Genomic DNA, 27,035 nt, shown 5'->3' with positions numbered 1-27,035 from the left:
CCAGTTATTCACCATACAAACACTGATTGAAGGCTACCAATGCCCTCCAGCCAAAGACCACCAGGAACACACTGATAATTAAACAAGCTGGGCTTACTACTCATTGATTTAGGGAGAACATACTTTAAGGACACTATCTTAGCAACTGTGTTAGAAAGAAACTACTAGAAGATTTGGACTTTGGTTGGGTGATTTGTGGAGGGCTTAAGAAATTAAAGATTTGCTCTAGGTCAGATACCATCAGAAATCCAGGCAATTCTATGATTGAGTGCATTACAGGGGGCAGAGTGACCTTGTTTTTGTGCATGGACAAAATTAGGTAGTGACCTTGTTTTGTTTCATTTTATCGTGGTTCAGAATAAGCTTGTCTGAGGTTGGTGTTCTGTGAGATTGTCTATGTCCAACAGGAGAACTATAGCCTGGCTGTGAGTGTCAGATCAGCTTGTAATAATATTGAGGTCTACCGGTGACTATTTCTGGATGTCAGGGCCTGCTTTTTTCTTTCTCTATGCCTATAATGGCTCAGCCATTGGACTGTGATATTGTTCATACGTCTTTTACATCACCCAGTATGCCTTATTATGTAGCAGACAGTGCAGTTATTTCTCAAGATACATCCCAACCCTCTCCCACCGTGGGGCAGCCATGGGATGTGGGTGGGACTGATTCCACTCCCAGCTCCAGGATGGGCCCTGATTTGTCTAGAACATCTGGTGACTTGTTTAGAGATAGGCATTGAATATTCAGTTTCATGGAAACCGACACTGAGATTGCATGCAGGAGGTTTAGTGGGGAGGACACATAGGAATGATGTAGGCAAGAGAGGGAAGGATGATGGCACAGAGGGAGAAATTGACCCAGTATATGATTTCAACAGAGGCTTTATCTGATTCCCCTTTGGAAGCGCTGGAGCCAGGATGATCCTTCAGACATGCCTGAATTGAGGTGACCTCAGGCTTTTATACTCACTCATTGATCAGCCATTAGAGGCAGTGTCCTCTTAAGGGGGACAATATCCTCGAGTCTGGCAGCTCCTTTTGGTCAGAGCAATGCTTTGGGAGGAACTCAGCTGTGAGCCATCAGCCATCAATACTTCCAGAGTGGGAAAATGAGGGTCTCAGTTCTGAAGGGAACATCTGGTTGACACAGGCACTAAAATGGGTAAACAAGAATATCATTTTCTTGTCTTGCTGATAATTCCACCTTCTAGAGGATAGGTTTTTGGTGCTAATTCTGCCTGTCTTAGTCCATTCAGGCAGCTATACCCAAATACCTTAGGCTGGGTAATTCATAAACAATAGAAATTTATTGCTCACAGTTCTGGAGACTGGGAAGTCCAAAATTAAGGCACCTAGTAAGGGCCCATTCCTTATACGGCACCTTCTTGCTATGACCTCACATGGTGGAAGGGACAAGGACACTCCCTTCAACCTCTTTTATGAGGGCAGTAATCTCATTCATGAGGGTGGAGCCCTCATGACTTAATCACTTCCTCAAAGACCCCCACCTCTTAATACCATCACTTTAAGTATTAGGTTCCAACATATGAATTTTGAAGGGACAAGAACATTCAGACCGTAGCTTTGTCCAACAAGGAGTACTTGATAGGTGAAATGAAGAGCCTTGAGAGAAGGTAGCTATTGCTTATTTTAATATGCCACCCAAGGCTAAGCCAGCTGGGTGATATTCCTTGGATACAGCGATTCTTTCAGAAGAGCTCAGGAATTTTTTTTTGGTGATTAGTAGAAGAGAAGCTTGCTAGACACTAGAAGGAAAGTGTACAGTCCCAGCTGCTGGTTGCATCATCAGGACAAAACCAGCATACAGAGGATGGAAAAACTGAGAGAACTGTGAAGAAATGAGAATGGTCATAGCATGCTGGAGCTAGCCTGCATCAGGCAAGGGGTGACTGCGCACATCTCTTCCTAATTCTATCTTCAGTGACTTCATGTTGGTAGCTTGAAATAGGTCGTGGTGGGAGTATTTACACCATGGAAATAGACAAACTCATGGCTCTTTTTTCTCTGGAAAGTCAGTTAGTTGTGACATACTTCCTAGCACACTGCTGATGAAGACCTAATCAAACAGTGCCTGAAGCCTGTCTACTTCTGGACTTTTCAGTTATATGAGTCAATAAATTCTCCTTATTGTGCAAATTACCTTGAATTCTAATTGCTGCATATTATAATTTATCTGTTTGCATATCTGTTTTCTCCAATAAGTTATAAGCTTCCTGAAAGTCAGAGAACATATTTATCTTTGAATTTTTGGTGTCAGTAAACATAGCCAGTACCCAACATATATGTACTGGCTATGAATGTATGAAGCATAAGGGTCTTTGAACTGAAAAGAGCAAACATTAAAAAGATGGAAATGGATAGTCAAGATGGGTGAAAGTATAGATGCTTAAACCAGTCCAATTCTTCTGGCATGAATGAGAAAAAGGAAACAGCTTTCTCTCTCTCTCTCTCTCTCTCTCTCTCTCTCACACACACACACACACACACACCCTATCTCTTTCTGAAGACACAGTGCACAGCGAATGTGGCCTTCAGTGTCAGACAGCCTTGACTTCCATTCTTGCCACAGCTACTTATTGGCTATGGTCCTAGACAAGTTCCCTAATGTCCTAAAGCCTCAGTTTCCTCATCTGTAAAGTGGGCAAAATGATGCCTCCCTCAGAATGAAAGAGAAAGATGAGTAGAAAGCATTTAACCCAGGGCCTGATACAGAGCAGAGATGGCAGCCATTTTTTGCTGTTGTTCTTGTAGCAGATGTTGCTTTGTCACTACGATTACTGTTGTTGCAGCTCCCTTCCTTTTATTGCCTTTGTTCTGGTTCATAAATTTGGATGGGGAAAAATTGCATCTTTATTTTATCTAACCTCTCACTGAAATCTAGCTTTTTGTTTCTATTAAGAATGTAGGCAAGAAACTGCACTGGTATTAGCAGCGCCTATGACTCTTGCCACAGAAATAACAGATCTTTTCATATCACCTGGTAGTTGTTGTAGACAATGGAAACACTCCTTCTCTCATCACTCTTTGAAATGATGGTTGTTATTTGACCTCTCACCAGATCCTATTATTTAAAGCACTGATAAAAGAGTAAAAATATTACTGTATTTGTAATCTTTAAAATATTTGATGTTGTAACTGATTTCCTTTGTAGCTTTATGTATTTCATTTTATGCCTAATAACATTATTCTGAGAAGGGAGTCTGTGGCTTTACCAGCCTGCCAAAGGAAGCCTGGTGCATAAAAGGTTAAGAGCCCCTGCCCTGGGGCCATGTTGCTTCAGGCTGGCTGGTCAGCTCAGTTAGTTCAAGAGCAATGAAGGTCATAGGGGCCCACGTGTAGGGTCAGTTCACTTAACTTTATTCTATTCCTCAGCCACAGAGGCTGGCCAGCGTGTGTCCAAGACCTGGAAGAGGCTGTGTAAGACCAACCTCAATAAGCCCCATCTGTTTGGCAGGAAACAGAATGCCCTGTGGATGGTGGATTAGTCTTGGTGCTGCATTATGGGAGGGGTGGGGTCATTTGGACATAGAACTTGATGGCTTCAAAACACAATAAATGTAGATATTAATCACTTGTAACTGGTGGAGAAGCCTGTGATCTCTCAGTAGTTCCTCATTCTGACAGCCTCTCTCTCTCAGTCTGGGCCTCTTGCTCTATGTTTAGTAAGGCTCCCACTTCCTGTTCCTTTCTCTCTCCATCCCCACCCATCTTGCTCACTCTCTCTCTCCCTTTGCGTTCTCTCTAATTTATTTCCCCCCTTTTCTCTGAGGAGGAAGCAGTAGAAAATCCAAAATGTAGTCACTGGGCATCTGGTGGACATTCTTCTCTGGGCTTGGCCTTGTGTTCTTGGCATGGATACTTGCTGGCCCTGGGTCTGCTCTCACTTTCCTTTCTGTCGTCACACACACACACACACACACACACAAACACACACACACACACACACACACACACTCTGTCTGTCTCTCTCTCTCTCTCCATCTCTTTCTCTCCCTGACACACACTCACACTTCAGAACGATTATATTTATAATACCCTGGGCAGTTCCAAACGCCAGTATGAATTTTAAGAGCACATTTGTGTCTCCTGCTTGGAACAGACTGAATTTTCCACTGTCTGAGAGTTTGAAGTTCTTCCAGCTAAGAGAGCAGTGAGAGCCTCTGGGGGACGAGCCATGTGTCAGATCCCTGTCAACTTTCTGCTCCAAGGGTCACACTCACTCAACATTTGTTGAAGGACCTATGGCCACATTTGGCCCAAGCCACTCATGTTGTGCTTTTCAAGTAAAACCTGGTAGGGGGAAGGGCATCTGGAGTGGAGATACCTGGTGTCAAGTGAGAATGGGTCCTATAGGGCTGACACTTAAAAGCCATCAGAAATTAACCTGTTTTCTGGGCCTAGAGGAGAAGAGGTGGATATTGAAACCAGTAGATCCCGGATATACCCAAAGGAATATAAATCATTCTACCATAAAGACACATGCATGCGAATGTTTGTTGCAGCACTATTCACAACAGTAAAGATGTGGAACCAACCTAAATGCCCATCAATGACTGATTGGATAAAGAAAACATGGTACATATACACCATGGAATACTATGCAACCATAGAAAAGAATGAGATCATGTCTTTGGCAGGAACATGGATGGAGCTGCAGGCCGTTATCCTTAGAAAACTAATGCAGGAACAGAAAACCAAATACCACCTGTTTTCACTTCTAAGTGGGAGCTAAATGATGAGAACACATGAACACAAAGAGGAGAACAGACACTGGGGCCTTTTGGAAGCTGGAGGGTGGGAGGAGGGAGAGGATCAGAAAAAAAATAACTATTGGGTACTAGGCTTAGTACCTGAGTGACAAAATATATGTAAACAAACCCCCATTTACCTACATAACCTGCCCATGTACCCCTCAACGTAAAATAAAAGTAAAAAAGAAAGAAAAACCGGCCAGGCATGGTGGCTCACGCCTGTAATCCCAGCACTTTGGGAGGCCAAGGCAGGCGTATTACCTGAGGTTGGGAGTTCGAGACCAACCTGACCAACATGGAGAAACCCCATCTCTACTAAAAATACAAAATTAGCCGGGCATGGTGGCACATGCCAGTAATGCCAGCTACTCGGGAGGCTGAGGCAGGAGAATAGCTTGAATTCGGGAGGTGGAGGTTGCAGTGAGCCAAGATCATGCCATTGCACGCCAGCCTGGGCAACAAGAGCAAGACTCTGTCTGAAAAAAAAAAAAAAGAAAAAAAGAAAAGAAAACCAGTAGATCCTGAAAGGATAAATTATAACTCTCATTCAACATCTAGGAATTGGCCGGGCGCGGTGGCTCACGCCTGTAATCCCAGCACTTTGGGAGGCCGAGGCGGGCGGATCACGAGGTCAGGAGATCGAGACCATCCCGGCTAAAATGGTGAAACCCCGTCTCTACTAAAAATACAAAAAAATTAGCCGGGCGTAGTGGCGGGCGCCTGTAGTCCCAGCTACTTGGGAGGCTGAGGCAGGAGAATGGCGTGAACCTGGGAGGCAGAGCTTGCAGTGAGCCGAGATCCCGCCACTGCACTCCAGCCTGGGCGACAGAGCGAGACTCCGTCCCAAAAAAAAAAAAAAAAAAAAAAAAAAAAAAAAAAAAACAACAAACAAACATCTAGGAATTAATCTGAATTCACTTTCAATTGGGAGTGGCAGATGAAAGCTGTCACCCTCAAGATTGAACTTAAGGCTGACTTTAGGCATAGGCAGACTTGGGCAGTTTCTCTCCTCTTCCTTATATTTAGTTGTTCCATGAAATACCCTTAAAAGAATTCAATGACAGCCATTCCACAATTAGAAGTATGGCTTGAAATTCTCATTCCTGTGAGAGTTGACACACTGGCTTTAATTCGCACTAAAGTGTAAATGACTAACCTAAGATTCTTTCCTTTCTGGCAAACAGTTTTATTAAATATGAAGAAGAGAGGAGAGAGAAAGAGAGGCTTACCTTTGAGGGGAAATTGGGTAGAGGGACAAAGAAATGAGATGCTGGAGATTTTATAACTTTATAGCAGTGTCAGAGTTGGCCCCAGTTAACTTTCTGGAGTTAATTGCTCAGTTTAATTATGGATTTCTCCCCACACATTTCCAGCACTCAGTTTTGATTAGATCTTATATTGCTTGGTTTCCTTAGCCTCTTGTAAAAGAACTTCTTTAGTGGGTAAAATGGGGGAATGTGAGAGGGGGGTGCCATACAATGGATCAGAACCGTTTCTTAGAGGATGTTTCATCACCTTCTATGTAATGTCATCAGATTTCCAACCAAAGTTAAAACGTTCTTCCCTTCTACTTCACAGTAAACTAATCTTGGGAGAATTCTTTCTGACTGAGCGCTTTCCAAACCACCATTCTTTAAGTGGAATTTATTTGAATAATTTGACATTGATTTCTAGTCTGGGTACCGTTTAGTTCCTTTTTGGGTCACTGAGCAAAAGGACTTAATACGTTGCATGTTCCACATAAAAATATCACCTGATTTTAGCTGTTCAGTGAGCTCCTAGGACAAAAGGAGGTTTACTGGTAATGGAAAAGTATCACTTCCAACACAGGATGTGCTGTGAGCCTTGGTGGTATGTAACATATTCAGTAGTGTTTTCATGAACCTGTCAGCAGAGCCTGTGTAAACTTTGCAATGAAATTCACCTTCCACTCAGCTCAACTTTATGGCTTCCTGAGCAAGGAGGTAAAGAACATGGAAGAGAAGTGGATGGGTCACAGGGGCACCTTCTGCCTTGTGGGACTCCCCCCTCTGGTGTCTGGAAGGGATGATGGTGGTTGAATCCAAGGTCACTGCCCCTAGGCAGAGAGAAGGAAGAGAAGTGTTTTCTTCAGGTTCTTCTCCTTTTGATAGGAGACTGAGGCTCCTGCTCCAGATTCTATAGGGAATAACATAGAGAAATTATACTTTATCACTGGCAAAAAATTCATCATTTGCAATTTGGGAATAATACATTGTGTACAGAGTTTAGAATCAATGCGATAAGCTATTAAAAGTACTTAACTCGATAGCTGGCACTAGTAGTCACTCAATTATTATTTTTTCTTTCTGGCTGTCACCAGTTACAGTTTTGCATTTTTACCTTTAGGTCTTTGATCCGTTTTGAGGTAATTTTTGTGAAAGAGATGTAAGGTCTTGGTTTAGATTCTAGTTTATTTTTTCCTGCATGTGGATGTCCAGTTGTTCCAGCACCATTTACTGAAAAGACTGTCCTTTCTCCACTGTATTGCCTTCGCTCCTTTGTCAAAGCTCAGTTGACTAAATTTGGGCGGGTCTTTTTCTGGGCTCTCTATTCTGTTCAGTTGGTCCATTTGTCTATTCTTTCACCCATGTCACATTGTTTTGATCACTGGAAAGCTTTTCAAAACCACAAAGCCTTATACCCATATGAGGCACTACTAGTAGAGACAGTCACCAGCTGAGGGCTGATGGCATTTCCTCAGCTCTTATCCTCTCCCTGCTCTGTGTGAGTTAGAAGATGGAACTCCTCATCTGTGAAGAGGGAAAGCCAATGCTCCAGGGCTAATGGTTTACTGAGAGGATGATGGACTTGGTCTCTTCCTTTCTGCTGAGTTAGAGGACAGGGCTTATTCAGAAATGTCTAGTTAATCTCTGCTTTTTCCGACTTCAAGGACCTAATCATAACACTTTGCTACTGGCAACTCAAGCATTATATATTCTGTTATTTTTAAATATTCTATTATTTTCTTGCTTGTTTTAGACAGTAACATTGTTTCCTTTTACTGCTCAGTCTGGGCATGGCTCATGATTGCCCATTATAGCTTCAGCTGACATGGATCCTGTGTTTTAGCAACTAGTTCTCCAAGTGTGGCCGCTGACCCGCAGTATCAGATCCTCTGGGAAATGCAATGTTAGAAATGCAAATTTCTAGGTCCTACCCCAGACCGAATGAATCCAACTTCTAGAATAAGGCCAAGTAAATCAGCGTTTTAATTTAAAAAAAAAAAAAAAGATACATGCTCAAGTTTGAGAACCACAGACTTTGAGTTTACAAAGCGTTTTTCATTCATTTAGTAGCAGCATTCTCACATGCATTGTCTCTGATAGATGGCATGATGATCCACTTCCACTTGGTTATTCTTTTCCCTCTGTGTTTTAGGGCTTACCATAGGAGGCCCTGCCGAAGCTGGCACGCTGCATGGGAGCTATCCTTAAATGCCACTCAGAACACTCTCACAGCCTGCAGCCTTCAGAAGGAGAGTGTCGCATGGTCTAGCTGCTGAGTGACCGCTGATCAACAGCTGGCTTCACCTTGCATCCTGACTCCTGGGAGATCTTCCTCTCCCATCTCTCTTCCCTTCTTTCTCTGTAGGCGCAGCTGTCAGGATCAACTGAACCCCTGGGGATGGCTGTCTTTAGAGAGGAGCTATGTGGCCTTGAGAAAAGCTGGGTAGATGGACGGCCTGTCCTTGGAAATGGGCTCTCTGCAAGGACAAAGCCTAGGAGACTGTTCCTCAGGGTGCAGAGCACAGGCTTGCCTGTTTATTTAGGTGTGAACTTGGAGTCAGGACAGGAGTTTAATGAACAGGAGAAGGAATTTTGTTGAGTTTGTGGCCTTATGCTGATTCTTTTTGGGATGTTGAGTAGCATGAATAGAGAAATCTTTGATGAGAAGAAAAAAAAACAGTTTTAGTGAAGTAAATAAATGCGGGTTCATTTTCATTTGTAAATATATTTCTTCTATTTGTTGTTACTCCATTTGTAAGATGCACACGTATAACCATAGATTCAGAGTTTTTTTGTCTATCCATTGATGGCAATCTGTGTTACTTTCTGTCAAGGAGGCACAGCAACTTGGTGTCAGTGTGGTGAGGCTCTGGCTGCCACAGACAGTATAGGTAGTGGCCTTCTGTTAGTTGATAATTAATTACTAAATTGGCAGCATGTGCCCCTCATTCTGTGATACACACACACACACACACACACACACACACACACACACGGTACCCCTTATGTCTGCTTAACTTCCAAGAGTCTTTTGGACATATAAAATTTGCCTGCGTCAAAAGTTTAAAATATGCATTGGTTCTGTGCCTATTAAAAGCAAAGTTTAAAATAAAGCCCAAATAATGGATGAAATCCATTCAGGCAGCTTGGTGGTTTAAAGCAAGACTGAACTTTCTACTTTTTGAAAAGTGTATTTCCAGGAATAAAGCTGAGTGGGCAAAGCAAGACCTAATTTTCCTTATTGAATAGGAAATAAATTGACACATATTGAATGCTGTCTCGAAGGTGCTTATACTGGTTGGGAAAAGATGGCCTTGAGACCCAGGCTATTCATGTTAAGATTGAAGATGAGGTGAAAATGCTAATTAAATAATGCCATGGCAAAGTTGGCTGAAAATGAGTAAGCAGGACTTTGTGAACCCTTCATATTCCTAATAAAACATCTCTTCCTTACTTGAACATCTCTTCCTCTCTCTTTTGAACTTCAGCAGGCTATAAAGGACAATGCCCTTCGTTTGTGATTATGTAATCTCTAGAAACATGCCCTCATATATTGCTGGTGGGAATGTAAAATGATGCAGCTGGCAGCTGCTGGGGAAAGCAGTTTGGTGGGTCCTCAAAAAGGGAAACACAAAGTTATGTGTGTTTATGACCCAGAATGTTCCACTCCTAGGTATATACTCACAATAACTGAAGACGTATGTTCATACAAAAACTTGTACACAAACATTTATAGCAACATTATTTATAACAGGCAAAAAGCAAATACAATCCAAATCTCCATCAGCTGAGGAATGGATAAATAAAATGTGATACAGCCATACCGTGAAATACTATTCAGTCATAAAAAAGAAGAAAGTACTGATAGTAAGAGTTGAATAAGGAAGAAAGAAACATGAAAAGTGGCTTCACAGTTAAAAACAGGTTTATTTTGGAGAATAAACCCGAGAGGGGCTTCTGGCTGAATTAGGTCAGGGGCACTCTCTGTTACAGACTAAGAGTATTTAAGGGTTTAGGGCAGGAGAGCTTATCACAGGCTCAGAATATTTCTGTGTTTCTTTGTCTTGCTTATTTGAGAGGGAGTTTTTGTGTTTGTTTCTATCCTTTTTTTTTTTTTTTTTTTTTTCAGCTGCAGGCATACCCAAGCCTGCTTTTAGCTTCCCTATCTTAGTGTACCTAAAGGGAAAGGAATGTGCTTATTAGGGCCCACTGTTTTACTGGGGCCCATTGTATGAGTGTGAAGTTTGGCAGTTACCCAAGAGACTTTCCCCCCACCTTCTGTGCCTGAGCTGTCTTATCTGTGTTTTACTGTCTGCTCTTTCTGGCTGCTTGTTGTTAGAAGAGAAGTGATTTCCTTGAAATGCCTGAGATTAGAAAAGGAGCCGGAACTTGAAATGGCGATGTTTGTCCAAGATGACGGTGCTCCTGCTCTGTCACTGATACCTGCTACCACTTGGATGAACCTTGAAAACGTTGTGCTACGTGAAAGAAGCCAGAATCAATGGGCCGCATTTTGTTCGATTCCATTTATATGAAATGTGCAGAATAGGCAAATTATAGCCCCCCAAAATTCATATGTTGACGTCCCAACACTTAGTACCTCAGAATGTGACTGTCTTTGAATATGGGGCCTTTAAGGAGGTAATTAAGGCAAAAAAGAGGTCCTCTGGGTGGGCCCTCACCCAGTAAGACTGGTGTCCTTCTAAGAAGAGAGAGATTAGGACACAGTTACACACAGAGGAAAGGTCATGTGAAGACAAAGGGAGAAGACAGCCTTCTGCAGGTCAAGGTGAGAGGCCTCAGGATAAACAGCGCATAATAGGTCTGGTAAGGTCTGAACAGAGGTCAGATTATATACTGTGTTATCAGCTAGGGTAAGGAGTTTTATTTAAGAGTAATTCAGAGCCACTGGAAGGTTTTAAGCAGGGTTCTACAGATCTGATTAATATCTGGGAGTTAGGGTTTCCCTGGAGATTCTAACAAGGAGGACTAAAGCATCCCTGACCTTAGACCCAGAGGTAATCTCTATCAACCGGGGTCCTGAATTAAACTTTCTTCATCCTGTTGATTGCCCTTGGTTTTCAGCAGAGTTTGCACAAAGAGAAATCAACACACCCAGGATAGCATGCCTTAGTACTCCAAACAGATTCTGAGAAGCATAAGGGTCAACCATAAACACACATTTTTGCAAACACTGTAATCTATTTATGCTACAAAAAATCTCCTAAACAGAGGAACCGAATCAACTGCAAATAGCTATTGTTGACTTTCTACGAGGACACTGGCAATCATGATGGCTCTGTGAGCCACAGGATTGTTGTAAAGAGAGATGTCTGCATGGTGGTGATTTTCTGTACTCATCAGTGGATTTTTGTTTTTTCATCAGGGCCAAGATCTCCAACCATAAACAAAGGAGAAATTTTGACTTGAGAAATATCTACTTTGTTAATAAGCAAAACTGAAACTGGAAAAAAATAATTTTGTTTTGTAAACACAGGCTTGCTGTTCATTTAGTGCAAAGTATAACTCTTGCAAAATGCTAAGGGTACATGGTCCCCATGGTGCTAGAGTTTAAAATGGTTTTGGAGGAATCAAAACAGCAGCTCTGTTTGTTGCACAAATGTAGCAAATATGAAAGCCAAATCATATAAATTATTTTAAACAACTGAATGCCACTTACCAGCTGTGAGCTACCTGCTTCAACAAAACTCTTTCAAGCCTAAATAAAGGGGGAAAATTTCTCTCTTCTCTCCATGTATTTAAAGACAGCATCCGAATTAACATCTGAGTCATAAATAGTCCATGAAACAGATGACTCCTCATCCTATGACTAGATGTTTTTTTTTTACCAGATAAAATTCTAAGTGAATCTCTTTTCTCTTTTGCACTTTTAAAAGCTATTTCCCTTCTCTGGTTTGGTCTTCTGGTTAATGTGCTGAGGCAGGCTCTTGGCAGCCAGATGGAATATCATCTATATTTAGGGCTTCCATTAACTCTTGTGTTTGAATCTGCTGCCATTTCCTAATTTCAACACAAATATTCTACAAGAGTGGATTGCCATTTATGTTATTGCTGTATAATAAAGTCATCATGCTAATATGCCTTATTTTTCATGGAGATTCTTTTTGCTAATCAAGCACATTCCCTTTTTATTGGTCACATACCGATACATGAGAAGTTGTTACCTTGATAACATTTACCAGCATTCAGGCTGGTCAGCCTTGGTTCTGGCTTTTCTCGCTGTCCTTTCCAGGCTGGTTTGGATACCATTCAGTGTTTTCTTTTTGGTTCATGGGAGTTCAGCAACCCAATAACCTTGAGAAAAGAGAAATGAGAAATGGAACCAGTTCATCTTAGGCTAAAAGATTCATTTTGACAGAGTAATTTTTTTTCCCTAGGATAAGAAATTACTGTGTCATTCCAAATGCATAGATACTACTGTGCCAAAGTGCTGCAGAGAGTTTCATGCTGAACTTTTTTAAGAAAATTAATTGGATGTTAATGAAAGTTTGGGGCTGGTAGAATTCAAGGGAGAAGTACTCTGTTTTTTATCACCACTTCCCAAAATTATATAGTTGAAGGCTCTTATAATGATTACAAAAATAGTAACCCCCACTTGCTTGTGCTAGACAGAATATAAAGCAGTTTCACAACATTTCTGCGTTGAATTAGAGTAATCCTCCTGGTATCTGAAGACCTCCTCTGAGCCCAGTGTATGCTGGCATTGCCACCAGAATCTTAGGAGTGAGGCCTTTGGCCAGGCTTGGGGGTTCTAATAAATTTAGCATATGGGCCAGGCGCGGTGGCTCACACCTGTAATCCCAGCACTTTAGGAGGCCAAGGTGGACAGGTCACTTGAGGTCAGGAGTTCGAGACCAGCCTGGGCAGCATGGTAAAACCCCATCTCTACTAAAAATACAAAAATTAGCCGGGTGTGGTGGTGTGTGCCTGTAATCCCAGCTACTCAGGAGGCTGAGGCAGGAGAATCGCTTGAACCCAGGAGGCAGAGGTTGCAGCGAGCTGAGATTGTGCTACTGCACTCCAGCCCGGGTGACAGAGCGAGACTCTGTCTCAAAAAAATAAAAATAATAAATAATAAATTTAAAAAAGCATAGCATATGGAACACTCTTCTGGAATCAGTGTCTGTAACAGAAAAAAAGAAAAGAAAAATTTGAAGTTGCAATTACTCAGATGGGTTTGTGGACACTGGAAAGGAGATGAGGAACCTACACATCACCTTATTTCCAGGAGAAGGTGGGTGGCGGATTCATGCTTGTTCTCAATCGTAGCGGTTGTTTGGACTCAGTAGGAGTATTTGCTGTGAAGTCTGTCATATGAAGGAAAAAATCAGGGGTGCAACATTGCGGCCAGAAAAAATTGGATGGTGTCATTTCCAGTCACCAAGGTGGGCCGTCAGCACAGATAAGACGTGTGTGTCTGGAGTTTGCTCTTTTACATGTGCGCTGTGACAGGCTTCTTGCTTCTGTCACATGACTCCCAGCTGGAGAGGATGATGAGGGGAGAGCCCAAGCTACACCAATAACTCTCAGTGCCAGTTCCTGCTGTTTCGTCATTGTCTCCCCATCACAGCTGTACCAAGGCCACTTCTGGTTGCCTTCTTGCTTCTCCAACTGCTTTTCTCTGGTTTCTTCCTTGGCTTCTCTTTCTGAAATTGTCACTTAAATGTTGACATACCCAGACTGTGCCCTTTGGCACTTATCTATTCTCACTTTACCTACACTCCCTGGACAATCACCTCCATTCCCATGGCTTCAATTACCGTCTCTACTACTGGCAGCTCTCAAATGAAATCTACATCTCCAGCCCAGAACTTGTTCTGTGGTTCCCTAGATGTCTCAGAATCAGTGTGTTTGAACCTAGCTCATGATGCTCCCACCCCCACAAACTATGCCTGCTCCTGAGATCTTGTCTATGTAATAGTGGCCAAGATTTACTGTGCTTGTGATATTCCAGGCTCCGTTCCAAGCATTTGACATACTTTACCTCATTTAACCTTTTCCAGAGCCCTGTACAGAAGATACAATTATTATCCCTCTCTTATACTCTGAGGCACCCAGTGAATCGGTGCCTTGCCCCAGGTTCAACAGCTAGCTGTGGACAGAGCCAGACTTTGAATGCAGGCTGTTGAAACTGTAGCCCATGCTTCTAATCACTCGGCTGGGCTGCTTGCTGTTGTACATTTACCCAAGTCAAAAACTGGAGCATCATTTTTGATGTCATCTTCTCCCCTGGCTCCCACATCCAATCCAATGCCAATCCAGTTCCTTTTACCTCCTGAATAACTTGAGCCTTTCTTTCTTTTTCTTTTTTTTTTTTGCTCCTGGGTCACTACTATAGTCCAAGCTATTATCTCTTGCCTGGGCACTCACGATGGCTTCCTAACAGCTCTTCCTGCTGTTCTCTCATCTCTCCTTTCCACCCCATCTATTTTCCATACTGCAGCCAAAGAAACCTCTCTAAAACATAAATTCAAATGTGTCACTTCAGTAAAATGCTCCAATGGTTCCCCATTGTCAGGGCAAAGTCTGGACTCCAATATGCCTAAAAAGGTATGCTCTGGGCTCTGTTTTCTCCAGCCTCATCCTTCTCCCTGACTCCATCCCCTCCCCTTGCTCTGTTAGCATGCCCCGTCTTCCTGTGTTTCTTCCCTTTCCTGGCTCCCGGAAGGCCCCCTTCTCTCTCTTACCTCTTGGCCACTTAGTTGTCTGATCCCTTTGCCTATGATACAGTTTGGATACTTGTCTCCTTCAAATCACATGTTGAAATTTGATCCCCAGTGTTGAAGGTGGGGTCTCGTGGGGGGTGTTTTGTCATGAGGGCAGATGGCTCATGAATGGCACGGTGCCATTCTTGTGGTAATCAGTGAGTTCTTACTCTTAGGTCCCACAAGATTTGGTTGTTAAAAAGAGTCTGGCTCCTCCTTCTCTTCTGCTTGCTCCCTTCCTCTCTCACCAAGTGATCTCTGCACACACCAGCTCCCCTTCATGTTCCACCATGAGTGGAAGCAGCCTAAAGACCTCACCAGAAACAGATGCTGGCGCCATGCTTCTTGTACAGCCTGCAGAATCATGAGCCAAAGAAATCTCTTTTCTTTGTAAATCACCCAGCCTCAGGTCTTTCTTGATAGCAACACAAAGGGACTAAGACAGCTCGAATGTCCTTCCATCTTCTCTGCACCTGCTTGAGTCTTATTCATTCTCAAAGGCTTTGGGGATCTCCTCTCTGGGGTCTAGAAAGGGACTTTGGTGCCTTGGCTGTGTGTTACAGTATGGCTGTCACTCTGTGTGCCATGGTTTGTCCCAAGCACGTTAAATATATTAACTCATTTAATTTTGCAAAAACCATATGAGGTAGACACAATTATTATTTCCACTTAGCAGATGAGACTGTTGGAGCACGGTGCATCTGCCACTCTAGTAGTTCACCAGAGGAAGTCTGACATGGGGCTCTGACTATAAGTCTGTTGCAAGAACACAAAAAACAAATGGAGGATGCAAGACAATCCAAAGATGAGAAACAGTAGGAAGCTGCTGCTCCAGGTTGGAGGGACAGAAGGAAGTGGGGATGTCACCAGAGGTGAGGCACTGGGACTGCCCAGCGGGAACTGGAGCTCTAGAGGAGGTGCAGCCACTGTCAGAGCAGCCACCCCAAACTGAGAGGGGCTTAAGTACCCTGACATTCCCTCATCCTACTGCTAAGCTCCACCACTGCTTCCTGTCGGCTGAGCTAACCAGACACTCATGGGCAGGAGCCTGGGAAAATGTAGTCTGCAGAGGTCGCGGTAAAGATGGGGAACAAACTGAGAGAAATAGGTAGAAGATAGGCCCAGAGAAGTTCATTACTTTTTCCAAGCTCTGACAACTTCTAAGTTGCAAAGTCTAGGTAGTTTGGTCCCAGAGTGTGTCCCCTTAACCACTGATGTACACTGCCACTCTGAGAACCTGGGGCCAGGCACTGAATCACATGTCTCAGATGTGTAAAATGAAAATAATAGTGATATCCTCTGTATGGGGCTATGATAAAGGGAAAATGAGTTGACACACTTCAAATATTTTGAATAGTGCCTGGAATATCACACGCACAGTAAATTTTGGTCATTCTTACAGAGATAAGGATCCCAGGAGAAGGCAGTGGTCTGGGCATGGGAACTGTGTCCAGCACTGTTCTAGGCTCTTTCTCTAGAAGGTAGTTGCTATCTCCATTTTACAGACGATAAAACTGAAGCCCCAAGAGTTTGACTTACTCACATAGCAAAAGTGGAAGTAGGACTCAAGAGTTTGATTCCAGAGTCAATGTGTGTATGCCATATTAAAATTCCTGTGTGATGGACTCTCTTACAGCTAAGCTACAGTTTCTATGGGGACACACCTGTGCCTTTTTTGCCTTTGATTCCCTAGCACAGGCTCAGCACCTGGTGTCTTGGAAGGCACTCAGTACGTATTTGCTTGGTGAATTATTAAATGGCCTGGTGATTTGCTGGTGCCGTGGAAGTGGAAGTTGCACAGACGTGTTTCTGGACTTCTTGGTCAGCAGTGAGGTGCTGGAGGCCCAGACTCTTTTCAGAAACTCATTCCAGGCCATCTCCATAGTGCATGCCCGAGTGTTCCAGCTCTGCTATTTCATCCATCTCTGTGATGGCTTCCCCTGGACCTCCGCCTTGTAGAGGCCATCTATTTTCTACATCCTTGAGTGCTCAGTGGTGACCAAGGCAAGAGGATAAGAGTCAGGGTGAGGAAAATTGCATCAGGGGGATGGAAGAGAAAATGAAATGGAGTCAAAGGTCACCATTACACCTTAAGGAGTCCTCAAGAGCACTTCATAATCATCATGTAATCTGCAAATGCACATCTGGAGGTAATTATATCCAGCTAGGACAAATTATTTCTACTTTTATCTTAGCAATTGACCTAGTATATGAAGTGGAAGCAATTCACTGTTCTCTGCCTCTGTTTCCCCACTTAAACAAGAGGGAAGAGATCATTTTCACGGAGTGTTGGAAAAGTACTTTTTCATCATTAGAGAAAGTCTGTAAAAAATTAGTTACTGAATCTGGCTCTGGCATGAGGACATGGGCTAAAACTGAGTTTTTGATCTGTTGCAACTGGTATGTTGTTGGGGACGCTGCCATTTCTTGAAGTTTCTCTCATCTTTCCAGCAGAAAGAGTTGGGCTTCTTATAAGAAGTTGATGTATATTTATTAACAGCTAATATGAGTTATGTATCTAATAATGGTTTCCTCTTCCCTTTGGCTGCTTACAAAGGGCAGAGCCAAATAGGCCAGCACTTGGAAGAATGTGGGATTTCACAGAACGCCTTTTATGTCCTAACCACAGCCCTGCTACTCATTTTTCTATCCTATCTTTTTCCCCCATTACTTTTATTTAACTGATGGTATCTTGCTGAATTTTGTGCATCTTGGTAAGCCATCCTCAAGCCTTCCCAGGACAACACAAATAAGTAAATAAATAGTTATTGACTCAGATGTTTTTAATCATAGACTTGATTCCTGGCTGTGCTTTAGGGAAGCACTTTGTTACTGGCACACAAGTTACTCAAAGTATCAATGTTCCATCACTTTCTAGAATGAACTAATACAGCAGAGATCAATTTATGACAAAAAGCTATAGTATATTAAACTCCAGAGTTCCCAGCTGGAAGAAATTGTAATTTTAGAGTTGGTTGATCCAGAAATAGATGTTGACAATTGACTCAATTTTGGTAATGTTTTAAATGAGTCTGTATTTTATTAATACATATACAAATGATAAATTTATAATTTTTTATTGTATTTTATTAGTCACAACCAATCTACACACATTTGAAAATGGTGGCATATACATATGGTGAAAATATCATTTTCACTGGGTGTCAAATTATGTTGGTGAGCTTATAAACTAGAAGATCCATTGCAAGAAGGCCATAGATTCCCTAGAGGTGAAGCTTTGCAGGCTGGAAATCTTGGCATTCTTCCTTTACTCATTTGTTAAGGCATATTGAGTTAGGTGCTAGTGTTCCTAGGCATGCTTTTGTATTACAGTGCTTCGCTTTCATGAAAATTGGAAAACAATTGGCTCAAACTCAACCTTTAGTAACAAAATTTCCCTTCTGACTTTCTAGACATGTGTCAAAATTACTTCATTAAATTTCAACAGTGTTTAAGCATGCGTTTGTACTGTGATTTTCACTTATTAAGCGCTCTGATGTAATATCTTGTTTTCAATTATATGTAATTTATCAATTATATATTCCTATTAAAGAACAGATTCAAGAAGAGAGGGATCTGATTTTGTGAAAAAGAAATTGTAGGGAAGAAAATCACTGGACTGAGGTCATGCTGCAAGTTAGAGGCCAACCCTAGACAGGAACTTTGTTTTCTAATTTTCTAAAGAGATGGGGTCTTGCTACTTTGCCCAGGTTGGCCTCAAACTCCTGGGCTCCAGCAATCCTCCTGCTTCAGCCTGCCCAATATCTGGACTACAGACACAAGCCACCACACCCAGCTAGAGCTTTTTCTTTCTTTTCTTCTTTTCTTTCCTTTTCCCTCCTTCCTTTCCCTCCCTCCCTCCCCTTCCTTTCTTCCCTCCCTCCCTCCTTCCTTCCTTCCTCTCTTTCTCTCTCCTTCCTTCCTCCCCTCTCTCCCTCCCTCCTTCCTTTCTTTCTCTCTTTCTCTCCTTCCTTCCTTCCTTCCTTCCTTCCTTCCTTCCTTCCTTCCAGGTCTCTCTCTACCCTGCTCAAGCCATCCCCCGCCTCAGCCTCCCCCACTCCCTCAGAGTATCTGGTACTACAGGTGCATGCCACCACATTCAGCTAGCTTTTGTATCTTTGTAGAGACGGGGTTTCACCATGCTGCCCAGGCTGGTCTCATACTCCTGGGCTCAAGTGATCCTTCCGCCTTGGCCTCCCAAAGTGCTGGGATTACAGGTGTTTACCACCACACTGGCAGAATTTTATTTCTTAAAATGATTTTTGCTGTTTTTTCCTTTATCTTATATTGCCTAAGGGCTTTCTTTTTTTTTTTTTTTTAATATTTTTAAGTAAACAGGGTCTCAAGCCTTCAGCCACCCCTTCATCTCTTATATTTCCCTCCAGTGAAATCATAGTACTATGCACAGGCCTGGGTCTCCTTGTCTTTCAACAACTTTGGCTTCCACTGGGGTCTTGAAATCCCTCCGCCATCAATATACAATAAGAAATCCAGCTTTTCCACTCCAGCTGGCAGCTTTTCTGCTACACAGATTAGCTTTTTCATGAACAAAAACTGGCACATCTGATCTATTGGAATTTTATGGCTGCTTAATGGAATTTATTGAAGGCAGCTCAGCAAAGTAGTGTTGCTATGTCTAGTCATGCCTCAGGAAGTGTCTGTACTTAAACCCCAATATGAAAAAGCATTCAAATCCCAGCACTTTGGGAGGCTGAGGCAGGAGGATCGTGGGGGTCGGGAGTTTGAGACCAGCCTGACCAACATGGAGAAACCCCGTCTCTATTAAAAATACAAAACTAGCCGGGCGTGGTGGTGCATGCCTGTAATTCCAGCTACTTGGGAGGCTGAGGCAGGAGAAGAACTTGAACCCGGGAGGCAGAGGTTGCAGTAAGCCGAGATCGCGCCATTGCACTCCAGTCTGGGCAACAAAAGTGAAACTCCATCTCAAAAATAAATAAATACATACATACATAAAATAAAAAAATAAAAAATAAATAAAAGGCCCCCTTGCTTGAACAACGTCCCCTGCAGATACTTTCTGGGCACAAGGGACGCCGTAAGGGCTCCACTTTGCTTATCTCCGCGCGAATCTTTTACTCATCCTGACACGGGCTAGTTCTAATTGATAATCCGTCTTGCTTCCTGGGAATCCCCGAGGAATTTTTAAGAGAAAAATGCAACTTGTTTTGTGAACGGAAAAACAAGTTTGGCTAAGAGTAAACAAATAATAATGAAAGAAAAGCTCATGAGAAAAATAAAAATGAAACAAAAGCACTCTTTCTTTCCTTTAGGGCAGTGCAGGGGACGGAAGGACAGTGGGAGAGGGTGGGAAACGCAGAGGAGGCGGCTGAGTTTATTTTTAACATCAAGTTAAAGACATACTCTGTGTTCTTTCCTTTTAAAAATAGGCTTTTAACGTCTTGAAGCATTTTGACTATTCTGCCTGTGAGGTAAAACCCCTTTTGTGGCTGGCAACTCCCACTGGGTCTTTTCCCATCATTAAAGGCTTACTGGCCAAGTAGTTAGAGCGTTGGAAAAACCCCAGCACTTTTCTTCAAAGGTTCCTCATTAGCATATGCACACAGCTTCTGTGCGCAGAGAGGCTTAGAAACCCTGGCTGCTTACCTGGAGCTTGAGCTTCCTTGCATTTTTCAGAACTGATGGTTAGGGGAAAATCCTCTTTTTAAAATAGTTTGGATTCATGAAATAGTGGAGACAGTCTTTTTTCAGTCCACTGCAAAATTTATTAGTTGAGTTTATGAATAACGCAACATACCGACACCTATAAAATTTGATATGGGTGAACAGATATGGTAATAGCTAATCTCTAACACTTTTTGAAGGCTTCCTATGGGCCAGATACTGTCTATATGCATTTAATGCTCTGAACAGTGCTCTCAGGGTACATAATATTATCATCCCATTTTACAGATGAAGAAACTTGAACTCAAGGCTATTAAATAACAAACTCAGTGAGTGAGTTTGGGGGAAGAGATTCAAACTCAGGCAAGACAGTCAGTTCAGGTCCACTGCTAGCCCATACCATAAGTACATAATTAGAAAAGAAGTCCCTACTTTAAGATATTTTTGCTTCCATCTTTTGGAAAGTTATCAAAAATACCAATTTTGTTAGAAGAAGACATTTTGCTGCCACTTACAAGACTGTTGTCACAATAAATATATAGATCTGCAATGTGTTGATGAGGTGAAGCATGCCCCCTTAGATGTGACAAACTTGTGCAGTGCACAGCCTGCACAAAGGTCCATGACAGCTGTTCGGTACACGTACACATGCAAACACACATGTACGCTTCCACAGAAGAAAAAAAAGGCTGTTTTAGTTTAGTCTTTTGGTCTTTTAGAGGTAACCAGGCTGATCTGACTTCAGGAACAGCTCTTCTATGTGGCTCAGTCTAGAATGAGTATAGATCATATAAAAGGGTCTGAAACTGGTTGTATTTGTACATAGTTCAAAAATATCCTACTCTTACTTCCTCTTTGCTTCTCCTCTGGGGAATAAACACTCAATAAACATTTTACACAGGAAGTTCCGTGTACATAGGTGTGTTAAAGGATGAGGATAAAATAAATAGAATAGTTCACAAAACTGGGGAGATTAAACTTTTATTACAGAAAATTTCAAACATATACTGAAGTAGAACAAAAAGTATAATGAACCCCACTTTCCTCCATGAACCTAACATCCAGCTGTAAAAATCATCGACTGATGGCCATTCCTGCTTCGTCTGGATTTCCACTCGCTCTCCTCCATATTGAAGCAATTCCTAGACACATCATTTTAGCCAAAAATATTTCAGTACATTTCTCTTCAAGATATGAAATCTTTTCAAAATATAACCACAATACCATTATTACATCTAAACAGAAATAATAAAAAGTCTTTAATATCATCATATAGCCAGTGTTCAAAATTTTAACTGTCTCTCAAATGTCCCAAATTTTCTTTTTTCATTTGTCTGTTTTTACCTTGTGTTTTTTGAAATGGGAACCAACTAAGTTCAAACATCCCATTGGTTGTTACGTTTCTTAAGTCTCTTTTAATGTACAAGTTCTCCCTTCATCTTCCTTCATCTCTCTCTCTCTCTTTTTTCTTTTTTTCCAGAGTCTGCATTTTGCTGATGGCATCCAAGTAATGTTTAACGTGGTTCTCTGCTGCAGAATCCTTTCTGTATCTGTATATTCTTTTAAGGTGCTTGGGTGAATTTGATCCATAGCCAGGCTTGGAAAATACTGGAGAAGTTGTGTTTCTGCTTCTGGATTTCTTAATGTCTTTTATCTTTTTTTTTAATTTCATTTTTCTATTTCTTTCTTTTTTTTTTTTTTTTTGAGATGGAGTCTCGCTCTGTCACTCAGGCTGGAGTGCAGTGGTGTGATCTTGGCTCACTGCAAGCTCCGCCTCCCAGGTTCATGCCATTTTTCTATTTCTTAAATCCTCTATAGGAAATAAGGATTTCTTAATGTCTGGGTTGAAAAAACAAAACTCAGAGGAACCTGAGTACAATCATAAAAGTACATGTCCACCACCTGTTGACAGACGATGAATGTTGGCTTGAATATAGAGGGCATCTAGAATCCCTGGGGCAACTAAGGGGGCTGCAGGGGAACAACTTCTCAGCCAGGCTTGAGATGGGCAACAGAGCTGAATTAGCAGTGCTGGAAAAAAAAAGAGGACCTTCCAGCTGGGGGATTTGGTCTCACTTGAGGCCCTGTGGGAACTAGTAACCAGCAGGTGAATTGTTAATTAGCAGGCAAAGCCTGGCCTGGAATAAGCTGGTGCTTGACTTCAGTGGAGTTTAAATAGCTGGGAAAACGATTGTTCTAAGGATACTTGACTGGAGGCATTTCCAGCACATGCTTGTGGCAGAAGGAGTGATGTGTTCTGTCCTAGGCACCTCTGCTGCTTCTGTCATCGACCTAGGTGATATGCTTTGGCTGTGTCCCCACCCAAATCCCATGTGTCATGGAAGGGACTCGGTGGGAGGTAATTGATTCATGGGGGCAGGCCTTTCCTGTGCTATTCTCATGATAGTGAATAAGTCCCATGAGATCTGACAGTTTTATAAAGGAGAGATCCTCCACACATGCTCTTTTGCCTTCTGCCATGTAACACGTGACTTTGCTCCTCCTTTGCCTTCTGCCATGATTGTGAGGCCTCCCCAGCCATGTGGAACTGTGAGTCCATTAAACCTCTTTCCATATAAATTACCCAGTCTCAGGTATGTCTTTATTAGCAGCGTGAGAACAGACTAATACACTGGGCTTGCTTTCTTCTGTGCATCTTCTTTTTGTTTTGTTTTGTTTTTGGAGACAGAGTCTCACTCTGTAGCCCAGGCTGGAGTGCAGTGGTGTGATCTTGGCTCACTGCAACCTCTGCCTCCTGGGTTCAAGCAATTCTCTGCCTCAGCCTCCCAAGTAGCTAAGATTACAGGTGCCAGCCACCATGCCTGGCTAAATTTTTGTATTTTAGCAGAGATGGGGTTTCACCATGTTGGCCAGGCTGGTCTCAAACTCCTGACCTCAAGTGATCCACCTGCCTTGGCCTCCCAAAGTGTTGGGATTACAGGCATGAGCCACCACGCCAGGCCTCTTCTGTGCATCTCAAAGGCTTGAGAAAAATTTTTTTTTTTTTAAATAAATAACAGAGCATTACATTTCCTTGGTGAGGGGTTTTGGGGCTTTTTTCCCCATGTCCACATTGATCTGTCAACACCTGCCCCAGGTCCCTGCTGTTCTCCTTGCCCCATACCTGCTGCCAAAAGAGGTGCTTGCTGTCAGAAAGCCGGGGTCAAAGTGTCTCTACCACTGGCTAGCTGGGCAACCTTGGGTAGGTCCCTCAGTTCTCTGAGCCCTGTAATCTTTATGTAAAATAAAGATTGTATCACCTGCTCCACCTACCATAAGAGGCTGTTGTGAGAATCAGCCTCTTATGGTAGGTGGAGCAGGTGATCCAAAAGAGTTAATGTAGGTGAAAGTCCTGTCCTTCATTAAACCACAAAGCATCATCCAATTGCTCTTGTTGCCTGCTGCCTCCTCTCTACTTGTAGTCATTCATTCCTGGCTGAGAGTGCAGAAGTTGAACAAGGCCCCATTACTTTTTAGTTGTATCATTTGGGGCGAGTCATGCTGTGAATTTCTGTTTCCTCATACATAAAATGGGAATAACTTTACCTAGCATTTATTTACATCCTTCTTTATTTACACTGCACCTTGACCCAATGATGTTATCAGCACGAAAGCCGAGATAAACACACATAAAGCACCTAACCTAGACTTGGCACCCAGTCGGTACTCAGTAAAAGGGAATTCTTTCCTTCCCTGTTTGTGGAAATTGGACTATGGTATAACCCAGCTGAGATGCCTTCCTTTATAAAGAAAGAACTCCTCCTCTAATTGCTGAGGATAGTACTGTCTGCTACTCCTTCACCCTCAACTTTTTATCTCAGTGCTTTGCTCAAGGCCCAAACATGCTTAAAATTCTCTTTTGAAGTCTGTAGACTAGGGAGTTATATAATGGAGTCTTCTTTTATTACTTGGGGATAAAGATTCCTCAACAGCACGTGTGAAAAAGACTCAAATATTTGGTTGACTGCAAAATTAACATGAGTCAACAGTGTGATGAACAAGCAAGAAATGTATTTTAGGAAGTATGAAGGGAATGGTCCAGTGAGAGGATAGCCTTAGACTCATTCTCCTCATGTTGGTCAGACTACGCTTGGACTAAAGGACTCAGTTCCAGATGCTGATGCCTGGGGATGGATCATCAGAAAGGAGTGCTAGCAAAGAGCTTGGGATGCAGGGTGTTTGAGTAACTTTCAGAAAAACTGAGGCTCCTTAAACTGCAAAAGATGTATTTCAGGAGAGATATGTATTGTCTCTTGTTTCTTGAACGGACTGAACAAAACACCACCACTTTGGATTTACTTAAGAGTAATAATTTCTAAGGAGTATGTAGAAGTACACATTTGAGGTTATGTGACTCCCAGGGGAAGAATTAGGGACAGTAGGTAGAAGTTATGGAGAAGTAGTTTTAGTGGTATTTCTGTTTCTATTCCTCTTTACAACTCTGGGTTTTCGGAAGAATTAGCTATTAAAACTATTTAAAACTTGGCTTTCTTACAGCCAGTTTCAGCATGATGTTACATACAAAAGATATTCAAAGCAATATTGAAATTGTGAATTAGAAAGGGACATAACTACAAATATACCAGAAATTAAAACAGGTAACAAGAGACAATCAGGTATGACTTTATGTCAATTAATTCGGAAGACATACAAAATGGTTAACTTCCAGAAAACAATAATCAATATAAACTTAAGAAGAAATAGCCTAAATTATATGATCTTGAAAGATATGACATCAATGATTATAGCTACCTATATTATGAAATAACATACAAATAATTTTTTCTTAAGACAGAGTCTCGGCTCACTGCAATTTCTGCCTCCTGGGTTCAAGCAATTCTCCTGGTTCAGCCTCCCAAGTAGCTGGTATTACAGGCACCCACCACCATGCCTGGTTAATTTTTGTGAGACAGGGTTTTGCCATGTTGGCCAGGCTGGTCTCGAACTCCTGACCTCAAGTGACCCTCCAGCCTCAGTCTCCCAAAGTGCTGGGATTACAGGCATGAGCCACCACACCTGGCCACAAATAATTTTTTACAGGTGAGTTTTACCAGATTTTCAAGGAATGTATAATCCCAATCTTATATAAACTATTCCAGAGACTATAACAAGATTACAAAAAGAAGGAGTACTCCAAAGCTCATTTTATTAGACTGACGTATGCTTGATTGACTCCAAAATAAGACATGGACAGTAAAGAAAATTGTAGGCCAGGCATGGTGGCTCACACCTGTAATTCCAGCACTTTGGGAGGCTGAGGTGGGTGGATCATCTGAGGTCGGGAGTTTGAGACCAGCCTGACCAACATGGAGAAACCCCGTCTCTACTAAAAATACAAAATTAGCTGGGCGTGGTGGCACATGCCTGTAATCCCAGCTACTTGGGAGGCTTAGGCAGGAGAATTGCTTGAACCCAGGAGGTGGAGGTTGCGGTGAGCCAATATTGCACTATTGCACTCCAGCCTGGACAACAAGAGTGAAACTCCATCTCAAAAATAAATAAATAAATAAATGAAAATTGTAAGCCAACCTCACTTCTAAATATAAAGCTATAAATTCTAATAATATTTAGCAAAATTGGTTACTTTAAAAACAAAAACACACTATATTTTGTATAAAACAAAACTATATTTTGTTTAAAAACAAAAATATGCTATACTATATACTATATTATAATACAGTATAACCAGGTTGAGTTCCCAGGAAAGCAAGGATGGTTTAGTGTTAGAAAAATCTATTAATATAATTTACCACATTAACAAATTGCAAGAGAAAAAGCACATGATTACTTCAATAGAGGCAGAAAAATTATTTGTTAAAATTTAACACTTTCATATTTAAAAAAATTAAGAAATACAAATAGAAGCAGATTTTCTTTACAGAGTAAAATATGTCTATCAGAAACTTGCAGCAAACATCATATTTAGTGGTAAATCTTTAGAATTATTTCCTTTAATATGAGGGACAAGACAAGATGCCTACAATTACTATTTGTAGCCAATCATTATTTGGGGGTTCTAGTTGAACAGTAAGGCAGTAAAAGGAAGACATACTAATTGTAAAAACAAAACAAAACAATCGCTATTTATAGAAATTGCCCTCATAGAGTCTAAGAGAAAATACAGGCAAGCAATTGGAACTAACATAAAAAATCAACAAGTTACTAAGCACAACATTAGTATAAAGATAATTTACACTCTATCAACATCAATAAATAATTTTTAAAATATTAAATATCATAAAAAGTTAGTTCTTCCTTAATTAATTAATGAATTCAAAACAATCCCAACTCAAAATCCCAACAGTTTTTTTTTTTTTTTGATACTTGACAAGATGATTTAAAAAGCCATGTGGAAGAGCAAAGGACCAAGAAGTTTGTAGAAGACCAAGATAGGAAGGCTCACTTTAACCTATCAAATATGTCAGTCAGGGTTCAATCAAGGAACTAGAGCCACAAAGAGTGTTATGACATGGGATTTATTCTAGAAAGCAGACTTTATCCAATTGTGGGAGGAGCTGGGGAGATGAAGATCTGGAAGGAGAAGCTGGGAGCTCAGAGAAGAGTCTAAACTATCTTTTGAAAGCACTGGCATAAGTGGACAACATCGAGTTTACAGAAAAAAATCTAAGAAGCCAAGTACACATCCAG

At 41.8% G+C, this 27,035-nt stretch overlaps 2 long non-coding RNA genes across 2 annotated transcripts in view, besides 2 other annotated features; one reads left to right on the top strand and one right to left on the bottom strand.

Annotated features, from left to right (window-relative positions):
- The window catches only part of LOC643339 (uncharacterized), a 373,979-nt gene that overhangs the window by 189,504 nt on the left and 157,440 nt on the right, over positions 1–27,035 (top strand). The gene's annotated exons all lie outside the window — the stretch shown is intronic.
- Positions 3,698–3,847: an enhancer, noted in NCBI's record as "active region_6764". NCBI's record gives its function as "activates an Ori minimal core promoter by ATAC-STARR-seq in GM12878 lymphoblastoid cells {active_cell/tissue: GM12878}" and the evidence as "EXISTENCE:reporter gene assay evidence [ECO:0000049][PMID:35858748]".
- LINC02412 (long intergenic non-protein coding RNA 2412) lies at positions 6,401–13,867 on the bottom strand. The gene is made up of 3 exons (NR_120492.1): positions 13,257–13,867; positions 12,204–12,333; positions 6,401–6,928 (listed from the first exon to the last, which is right to left on the bottom strand). It is a non-coding gene; the product is annotated as a long intergenic non-protein coding RNA 2412 (long non-coding RNA).
- Positions 19,993–20,542: an enhancer, noted in NCBI's record as "OCT4-NANOG hESC enhancer chr12:93561467-93562016 (GRCh37/hg19 assembly coordinates)". NCBI's record gives its function as "activates a minimal SCP1, AML or CMV promoter by ChIP-STARR-seq in naive H9 embryonic stem cells {active_cell/tissue: H9 hESC(naive)}" and the evidence as "EXISTENCE:reporter gene assay evidence [ECO:0000049][PMID:30033119]".

This window comes from Homo sapiens, chromosome 12 (genome assembly GCF_000001405.40).
Source record: "Homo sapiens chromosome 12, GRCh38.p14 Primary Assembly".
Lineage (NCBI taxonomy): Eukaryota > Metazoa > Chordata > Mammalia > Primates > Hominidae > Homo > Homo sapiens.
Note: the sequence above shows the minus strand (reverse complement) of the source record. Positions and strands in the feature narration are given on the sequence as shown.